The sequence below is a fragment of the Homo sapiens genome, chromosome 7 (genome assembly GCF_000001405.40).
Source record: "Homo sapiens chromosome 7, GRCh38.p14 Primary Assembly".
NCBI classification, from domain to species: Eukaryota; Metazoa; Chordata; class Mammalia; order Primates; family Hominidae; genus Homo; species Homo sapiens.
In genome coordinates, this window is record NC_000007.14 from 145986989 (window position 1) to 145997981 (window position 10993).

A 10993-nucleotide genomic window follows, 5' to 3' on the forward strand; every position below is an offset into this window, starting at 1 on the left:
ATAATTCAGCAAGAGGAGGATCCAGAAAAAAAAAAAAAAAACTAAGAAATGTAATCCAAGAGGGCAAGAAAAAATACATTATATTATCCCGGTTTCTGATATCTTCTTATAGATCAAATCACCTAATATCTGGTTTCTACCATTATGAATAATGTTTAAATATAGAGTTGTGTATTTCCATGGAAGATTAAAATATATGCTATGAATCACTTGATTTTTAACTTATTTTCTAGAGAAAGTAACTATGCATGTTTAATTCACCCATCCCTATTTAATTTATATTATTTTGAAAAATTGGTTATCTACTAAACTGTACTCCACAAAAGGTAAAATAGATATGGTTCCTTACCTAGTGTCATTACTCTCCTTTAGAATTTTCTTTTTAACTCATGTTACTAGCAAGAATATCCTTAAATAAACTATTAAAATATTTGTGTTATATTTTATGGTTTTTTCATTTTAATACTTTAATATAATCCATAAAATATGAGGCTTCACAAGACAACTTTTGAATTAAGGGTATTAAATGCCTCTATGATATTAGGTGTAAAAATATTGCAAGGTAAATTAAAGGATAAATCTCTGCAGAGTTACAGCCAACACATGAATTAGTAACACAGAGAAAATATTGTAATAATTATCATTTTAGATCTGGGTCAATCAGGAGTCTGCATTCTCACCAGAAACTAAAATAGTATATAAACATCATATAGTGGTGGTATTAGGTAAATCAGAGAGATACAAACAGATACAGTGGCACATAAAAACACCACCACATTTAAAACTCAAATTTAATAGTTGTGGAATATATTGAAGACATAAAGAACCTCTCTACCACATTAGTTTTGTGCAAATTGAAATCAGAGTTAAAGAAAGTGGGAAAATTTAGTGGGAGTCGAATTTGTAGAAAATCTACTGCATAGTAAAAACTGAGCTAATCACATTTTACCATATTCAAGAAACTTGAAATTGAAAATTGGAGAGGGCATTGACGAAGACTGAAATTAGTCTGAAATTAGTAGTAAACACCCTGATATAATGAAGGGTGATGACACTAACTGGGATTTATAGAATGTCTAATATATAAGAACCTTAATGGAATCACATAATATGATCTTTCATGACTGGCTTCTTTCACTTAGTATAATTTTCATGGTTCTTTTATGTCGAAGCATGTAACAATACTTTTTTTTTCTTTTAAGCTGTGATATTTGCATTTATTTATTAATAGCTATTAAAAGGTTTATATATTCTTTTTAAAATTAAGTTCACAACAAAGTTGACCAGAAAGTACAGAGTGCCCTTATCTCTCTGTCCCTCTTTCTTCTCCACACACAACCTCCCCCATTATCCATATCCTTCACCACATTTGTTACAATCAGCAAACCTGTATTGACATATTATTATCACCCAAAGTTCATGTAGTTTACAGTTTGCATTAGAGTTCCCTCTCAGTGTTGTACATTCTATGAGTTTTGGCAAATGTATAATGATACATATCTACACTCGTAGTATAATATGGAATACTTTCATTGTCTTAAAAATCTGTGTACTTCCTATTTTCTTCCTTTAGCCCCTTGGAAACCAGGAATCTTTTTATTGTCTCTATAGATTTGCTCTTTCCAAAAAGTCATATAGTTGGAATCATACAGTGCACAGCCTTTTTAGATTGGCTTCTTTCACTTAGTAGTTATGTGGGACTGCTGCACCTACTGAGTGCGCTAAGGAGGCTGCAAATACTTAATAGCGCTAAGTACAACTCAGTTTCACATAGTAGTACTAATTTAAGGTTTCCTTATCTATTTTTATGGCCTGATAGCTCATTTCTTGTTAACATTGAATGCATACACACAAACACACACGTACTTCTCTCTCTCTCTCCATATATACATATATCTACATATATATCTCTCTACATATATATATCTACATATATATGAACATATATATCTACATATATATGAACATATATATCTACATATATATGAACATATATATCTACATATATATGAACATATATATATCTACATATATATGAACATATATATATACATATATATGAACATATATATGAACATATATATACACATATATATGAACATATATATATACATATATATGAACATATATATTCAATATATACATGAATATATATAAAATGAAATATATATTCATTATCAGTATGTACAAATTTTTTATTCATTACTCATATAATAAATCTTCATTACTACCAGTTTTTGGCAATTATGAATAAAGCTACTATGAACATTCATGTGCAGATTTTTGTGTAAAAATAAGTTTTTCATTTCTTTGAGTAAATATCAAGAAGTATGATTGCTGGGTTGCATGGAAAAATATATTTATTTTTGCAATAAACTGCCAAAGTGTGTTTCAAAGTGATGGTAGCATTCGGCATTCTCACCATCAATGACAGAGTTCCTGTTGCTCCGTGTCCTCAACAGCATTTAGTGTTTTCAATGTCAGTACTTCTTTTCATTACCATATAATATTCCTTTGTGTGGATATACGAATTTTATATATCCATTCATTATTGATGGGGTTTCAGGTTGTTTTCGTTTTTGGCTTTTATAAATAAGGGTGCTATGAACATTCATGTTCACGTATTGTGCAGTCAGGTTTTTATTCTCTTGATTATGCTTCTAGCAGTAAAATTGCTGTGTCATATGTTAACTCTGTTTTTCAAAGTGGATGCCTCTTTTTACATTCCTGCCAACAGTGTATAAGTCTTCAGTCTTGTTTGTTATAGGCATGATACCGTGTCTGAAGTGGTATTGATTTGCATTTTCCCTGATAACCAGTGATGTTGAACATCACTATGCATGTTTATTGGCAACCTGCATACCTTCTTTGGATAAATGTCTACTCAAGTCGTTTTTCCCGTTTTTAATTGGGCTTTTTGTCATTTTATCGTTGTATTACAAGAGTTATTTATACATTCTGGATATAAGTACCTATTTCCATGTTATGGATTTTATTTTTACTTTCTTGAGGGTATCTTTTTCAGAAGAATTTTATTTAAAAATGTGTATACATTCCAATACACCATTTTTTTTTCTGTTGTTACTTGTGATTTTGGCAGGATATGTAAGAAATTATTACCTAATCCAGGTCACGGAATTTATGCTTATGATTTTACTTTTAGTTTTATAACTTTAGCTTTGAAATTTCAGTCTTTGAATCATTTGAGTTAATTTTTGCATTTGGAGTGAGTATACTATGCACTAAATGTTCATATTTTCCAAAAATTCATGTTGAAATCCTAACCTCCAATGTGATATTATTAGGAGGTAGGACCATTGGGAGGTAATTTTGCCAGAAATGAAAAGAAATGGCAGCTTGTTTGCACCTGCTTTGATGTCTACTGGCAAGACTTAGTTCAAAGACACATGATTATAGGAGTTCTACAATTCAATCCCAACTATTAATAAAAGGGTCATTTGTTTTGTTTTGATTTGATTTGGGTTTTTTCTTTTTTGATAGGTCATAATTTTATAAAATAAATTCTGAATGGCACTGCTAAAATTCAACAAAATCCCCCAGCACTTCTGCTTCCTCCCATGTATTCTAATAGAATGCTATTGTGATAGAATAACTTATTCTATCAACAGAAGGTTGGGCAGATTCAGGCAGCATGCACTTAGGCGATTCTGCAGCATGGAAGCAATTTTACTTGATGAAATACTGAAGACGCCTCTTTCACAGAAAATTCGCCAGGAAAGGTTCTGTATGTTATCCATTGATAATGCGGTTGTGAGTGACCTGTAGTCAGTCCATCAAGCGTTCATTTGAAGGTCTACATTTCCACAAGGAATGTTCTTCCTTCTCTTCAAATTGATAATTAGTTCGATGTCTGTGTATTATTCCTTGTAGACCTATTAATTTAAGTTTACCGCTACTTAGGAAAAGAATTACTGCCTTTAAAAGCAACTGTATTAAAATGGGGAGAATGTTATTCAAAAATAGAGAATCCCCTAAGGAAACATTAGGATTAATTAAATAAAGGAATAATATATAAGTGCTAGTCAATACTACATAATAGTGCTATTTCAGACAGTGGGTATTGACTTGTAGGACTGTGAATTCTTAGTTTTAATATAAGATTTTATACATCATAAAAACATATATTAATCAACTGTGTTCATTTCTTTCATCTTTGGGACATTCCTGTGATCCTGTCAAAATGTTATTCTTCCCCCTGATTATCAAGGTTTTATCAATACCCTAAAAATGGGATTGGGAAATACTTTAGGCAGTCAAATGTGACAAGTTAATTTGGTTTTCACATTTACAGCTATATCATCAAAAAAATAAACCTGCTTTAAACTGTGGGAGAATGGCAGTTTACAACTGCATTAAAAATACCAAAACGAATGAATTCCATTACTCAAGACACAGTCCTGACAGGTCTGTTGTTGCTATTTTTTCCAAGTGCCTGTCAATATCATCTGTCCTGACTTGGACTCTACTCTTTGTTGTCTGTATTAATTCCTTCAATGTCCATTCCAAGGAAACTCCATTTCTAAATAAAAGTGTAACTCAAAATTATAACTTTCTTTTTTTAAAAAAAAATTATAGTTGAAAAGGCGTGACTACTCTTTAAGAGACAATTTTCCAATCCCGTTCTTTTCCTTTACATTTGTATACCCTATGGTATACAGCAGGTAAGTACATACATAAATAAAAGACTTGAAAAATAAAACTTGAAATGTGTCTTTTGGATTGTTTAATGAACAATAAAACACAGCTTTCTGGGGGATTCATGACGATTTGCCCTTTAAATAAATTTTTTCTTACTTTTTTCACATATAACAGTTTTTAAATTCATCTTTCAATAAAACATTGTTATGGAGTTACACTGCTTCGTGTTGAATCCTGGACCAGCACTTCTTAGCTGTGTGGTTATTGGCATGTAATTTACCCCATAGTCGCTCATATTCCTATTCTGTATACAGTTCTTTCATAGGGTTTTGCTTAAAATATTAAATATTCAATTAATACACCTAGAAGAAGCATATTCTAAACCTCTACATAAGTTTTATAAAATAATGTAATCCGCTTTAGGGTTTATCAGTTATAAGGTTCACAAATACCTGTTTTGAATTTTTGGTGTATTTTTATCCTAAAAAGCCATTTTAGTCTCTAAGATTGGTAAAGCTTTTACAGCTTATACATTGTTAGACTTAATTTACATTCTTTTTAATGTAAGGATTATGACCACTCTTGATGCAGATATTATAGTCCTATATTTAAAAAGAGAAATTTGAGACCACAGGATGCTCTAGCATGAAAGTGTATCAAAAACATCCATTCTGTTTGGCATTGTTTGTCCACAATAACAAGCAAATGCAGTGAGAAAGATGAATAATAATTACCACTGACTGAGCTAAACATGGTACATGCATTATTTTTCATCTTAGCAGCAATTCAATAAGATTATTTGTTATTATAGCTACCTTCATAGAGATGAGGAACCTGAGGATTTATAGGGGGTAACTACAATACCCAATAAGCGACTGAAAAGGAACAAAAACCCAAATATCTTGATTCCGATGCACTGATCTTTACCTCCACCCACTGAACCAAAATACTTTCTAAAAAACGATAAATGATTCCTGTTAAACCAATTGAGCCACTCTAGTGGCATCACAGCTTATTAAGTATACAGCTTATTAAGCCAAAACATAATAAGCATAATTCTTAGTGACTAAACACATTTATAGTATGTAATGTATATAGATGAATGACTTCCTGTATTCTTGGACCTTTATTTTCTGTCACTCTGATATTAATTTTGAGAATTGCGACCCAACACCTTTCTCATGTTTTTTCTAAAACTGTGTCAACCGTTATCTCATGTATACACGCACAATGCGCCATCAGTTAAATACATATATATGTTTAATTGCATGCCATTTGCCATATTATATTTACAATGTTTGTATTAAGGACTTTGTGATACCCTATAGTTGAAGTTCTAGTTCTATGTACATGTAAGCAATAAATTCTGTATTGATTACTTCTTAATATATCATCATATTATCCTCAAGAATTCATTTTTAAGTGATTTTTATAAACAAATAAAAATTTTAATATCAAATAGTTATAGAGAGTTCTTTTGACTAAACAGAGAATGATGCTTAAACAAAGGAAACAAATATACTGACACATTTTTGAATACATAAGTTGATATTCATATTGATTAAGAAAAATATTCAGGGCACCTTTTGTTTTAAATAGAGCTATCATATTTGAAATATGTATTGCTTATCAAAACAATTCAAATAATTAAATGAAATAAGTTCCTAGACTAAAAATAAAATGTTGAAATTTGATAGTTTAAATATGTAAAATATTATAAACATTGTAAATATTCAGTGCTGTGTGAGAGAACATTTTAGCCAATCCTTTTAATAAAAGACAGTAACAATGTCTCATATATCTGGGTCTAATTGAATGATTGGTTTTGCCATAAGTAAATACTTGTATAACCATAATACCCTTTTGACTGAATTTATATTGTTAGACTTGTCCAGACATAGCAAAGTAAATCTAATCATGGTTAAAGAATAAAGTGTAAGCATTACAAGTCAAAAATCAGTAAAATTGCCAATATTTTAGAAAAGAAGAGGTCAGAAAGAAGTGATTTCTTCATCCTTTCAACTTGGGAGCTAAAAACACAATACCTGAAGTTGAGAAATCAAAAAAAAATTTAATTCATAAAATCTAGTAATAGAATAAAATAATTTCAATTAAAAACTTGAAGTGAATTGATGGTAAAATTGATTTAATTCCTGTTATTTAAAATGAGGAGTGAATTAAATTCAACTCCAGTAGATAAATAAAAAAATTGACAAATAAGTATATTATTTAAATTTATAAAGGCAAATACCAGAGACACCAAAATCTAGTCACTATTAACAATGATTACTTCTGATGAGCTAAAGTGGAAGAAAGGGCAAGGATCAGTGATTATTCAATTAAGACAATTCTAGATAGATTTCTGTTTTGTTCTTGCTGATGTTTTGGATCATAGTAGGTAATGTTAAAACTAATAATAATAACAATTTCTGTTTCCAAATAGTCTTTGTCACAAATTTAAACCACATTTGTTAAGATTGCTTTATAGAAGTTTTCCAAAAATCCCCCTTATTTGGCTTTATGGAGAAAGGCAGAGCAAAATAATAGTTTGAAACAGATCATATACATATATATGTGTATATATGTGTGTGTGTGTGTATGTGTGTGTGTACACATACACATATATAGTTTTACTGTGTTTTAATTTCATATATATATTCATCTGAATATTAAAGACATGAATTTGAAGAAAATGTATTGTTATTTTTTAATTACCACAAGTATATTATTTGATATGCTTCTTAAAGCATCTATTGTAGACATATAAAGATATATATGTAATTGTGTGTTAAACATTATTTGACTACTTCAGGTATACCTAAGAAAGATGCTGATTAACTTCCCAAAGAAATAACTGCCTAACAAACAATATTTTTTACACTGAAGTGAAATTCACATAACATAAAATTAACCATTTTAAAGCGTACAAGTCAGTGTCATTTAGTATTAATGCATCCTCAATTTTATTCAACCACCACCTTTATCTGGTTTCCAAACCTTTTATTCACTACAAAGAAAACCTCATACTCATTACACAGTAACTCTTCATTCACCTTTTCCTCCCAGTCTTAGGCAAAACCAATGTACTTTCTGACTCTGTGGATTTACCTACTCTGGATATTTCATAGAAATTGAAATGAATTAATACAATATGTGTTACCTCCTCCTCCTCCTTCTCTTCTTCCTTCCTTCTTCCTTCTTCCTTCTTTCTTCTTTTCTTCTTCCTTCTTCTTCTTCTTCTTCCTCCTCTTCTTCTTCTTCTTCTTCTTCTTCTTCTTCTTCTTCTTCTTCTTCTTCTTCTTCTTCTTCTTCTTCTTCTCCTTCTCCTTCCCCTCCTCCTCCTCCTTCTCTTTCTCCTTCTCCTTCTCCTTCTTCTTCTATTTTTTTTTCAAGATACAGTCTGGCTCTGTCATCCAGGCAGAAGTGCAGTGGCACAATCTTGGCTCACTGCACCCTTAACTTCCCATGCTCAAGTGATCCTCCTGCCTCAGCTTTCCAAGTAGCTGGGGCAACAAGCACACACCACCCCTCCTGTCTAATGTATATTTTTAAAATATTTTGTATAAACGAGGTCTCCCTGTGTTGCCCAGGCTGATCTTGAATTCCTGGCCTCAAGCAATCCTTCCACCTCAGCCTCCAAGAGTGTTAGAATTACAGGTGTGAGCCACCACGCCTAGCCTGGCTGCTTTCACTTAGCATGACATTTTAAATTTTCATCTATGTTATAGCATGTTTCATAGTACATTGTTTCCTTTTTATTGAAGAGTTGTATTCCATTGTATGTATATATCACATTTATTTATTAATTTATCCTATGATGGATATTGGCTTGTTTCTGCCTTTTCGCTATTGTGAATAGTGCTATAATCACCATTTTTGTACAAATATTTGTACTTAGAGGTGGAATTACTGGGTTATATGGTAATTATATGCTTAGTTTTTTGAAGAACTGTTTTCCACAATGACTGGACCACTTTACATTTCCACTACCAGTATACTAGGGTAACAAATTTTTCACATCCTCATCAAATTAATATTTGCATTATTTTAAACTACAGGCATTCTAGAGAGTATGAAGTAGTTTCTCATTGTGGTTTTGATTTGTGTTTTCCTAATGACTAATATTGCTGAACATTTTTTCTCATGCTCTTTGGCCATTTGTTTATCATTTTTAGAGAAATGTCTGCTTGGGTACTTTACCCATTTTTTAATCAGGTTGTTATTTAGTTGTAACTGTTCTCTATCTTGGATATTAGAACCAACCCATTTTGTAGGTTGTCTTGTCACTTTTTTGATATGTCCTTTGGTATAAAAGTTTCTAATTTTGATAAAGTCCAATATCTCTATTCTTCTTTTGCCACGTGTGGTTTGGGTGTCATATCTAAGAATCCGTTGCCAAATCTAAATCATGAGAAGTACCTCGACATTTTCTTCTAATATTTTTATAGTTTTAGTTCTCACATATAGGTTGTTGGTGCCACTTGAGTTAATGCTTCCAAATCGTGTGAGGTAGGAAACCAACTTTATTCTTCTGCGTTGGGAAACCAGTAGTTCCAACATTATTGGTTGAAAATCCTACCATTTCTCTATTAAACAGACTTGACAGATTGGGAAAACTTAACTTTTTTTCTGCTATTTGTTTCTAGCTTCATTCCGTTGTGGTTGGGGAAAATACTTTTTATTATTTCAGTCATTGTGGAATTTATGGTGACCTGTTTTGTAACCTAACATATGGTCTATTTGTGAGAATGTTACATGTGCTCATGAGAAAAATGTATATTCTGCTGTTTTTATGTGCAATGTTCTACATGTATCTGTTAGACTTCATTGGCTTATAGTGTTTCAAGCCCTCTATTTCCTTATCAATATTCTGTCAAGTTGTTCTATCCATTTTTGAAAGTTGTTCTTAAAGTTGCCAATTATTATTATAGGACTATTTTCCTCTGAAGTTTTGTCAACATTTGCTTCATATATTTTTGGGCTTATTTATTTGGTGGTCATATAAGTATTATATCTTTCCAATGAGTTGAAACTTTTATCAGTATACAACAACCTTCTTTGAGTCTTGCACCATTTCGATGATGTCTCTCTCCACACAGTAGTTTGAGGTAAACAATGGGACGAGGGTAATGAGAAGACATGTAAATATTCTATTTTTTTTCCTGGCTGTATTTGTAACCAACTATTTTTTAGGCTGCTTAGTTTAAATATTCTAACCAAAAAATTAGAGAGAACAATATAACTTTTAATGTGGTACTTCAGAAATAAGTTATTTGATGATATAATGAAAAATATTTTTTATTGTTGTTATTTTTGAGGTGGAGTCTTGCTTTGTCACCAGGCTGGAGTGCAGTGGTGTGATCTCATCTCACTGCAATCTCTTCTGGGGTTCAAGAGATTCTCCTGCCTCAGCCTCCCCAGTAGCTGGATTACAGGTGCACGCCACCACACTCATCTATTTTTTGTATTTTTTTCCTGGGAAAATTTTGTGAGGAATCAATTTATGCATTTATTCTGCAAATATTTGTCCAGCACTTATTAACTGGAAATTCATTAATGAGAAAACACCCTTTATTTTATTTACATTCTAGACATGGGAGACAAATAATAATAAGGTAAAAAATAAACTATACAATATATCAAATTATACAAAGTGCAAGGAGAAAAATAAAATAATAAAGGAGGTTAACATAAAGCACCCAACTTACACTTAGGAGATTTCAACTTAACTTGACCGCTCTGAGCTAAACCTAGCCCCAAACCCACTCCACCTTACTACCAAACAGAGTGTGAGAATGAAAGAAATGCAACTTTCAATCACTAAGAAGGTGATTTTGAGCTAGAATGTGGTAGGTGAAGGTCTCAGTCATACATAAATCTGAGTAAAAAGCATTTCGGGCTGAGGAAAAAACAAGGGAAAAAGGCCTGAGGCAGCCATGTGCCTGGAGAAGCAGAGCAAGAGTAAGGTGGTGAGTTCCTAAAATATGATGAGTGAAATGTTTTTTTTTTTTTTCCAGTTCTAAGGGATAAATTTAGACAGAAAGAGGTTAGATTATAAGCCATTAAAACATTGTAATAACTTTGGTTTTAATATACATATGAGAAGCCACTTGAGGGTCAAAACTCTGAAAAGATAAGAAGTGTCACGCTCAAACTTCCAGTTTTAAAAGATCACTGTAAATGAGCAAATTGGAGGATTCAGCAACAAAAGTGGAAACAGCACATTTCAGAGACTATTGCAAAAACCCTTAGGAAAACTGACGGTGCTTTGGCCCAAGCTATTAGGACTGGGGATGGAATGAAGTGATTGGATTCTAGATACACTTTTTGAGAA

At 31.7% G+C, this 10993-nt stretch overlaps 1 annotated feature.

The window, feature by feature from the left end:
- Positions 10080 to 10581: an enhancer, noted in NCBI's record as "NANOG hESC enhancer chr7:145694161-145694662 (GRCh37/hg19 assembly coordinates)". NCBI's record gives its function as "activates a minimal SCP1, AML or CMV promoter by ChIP-STARR-seq in primed H9 embryonic stem cells {active_cell/tissue: H9 hESC(primed)}" and the evidence as "EXISTENCE:reporter gene assay evidence [ECO:0000049][PMID:30033119]".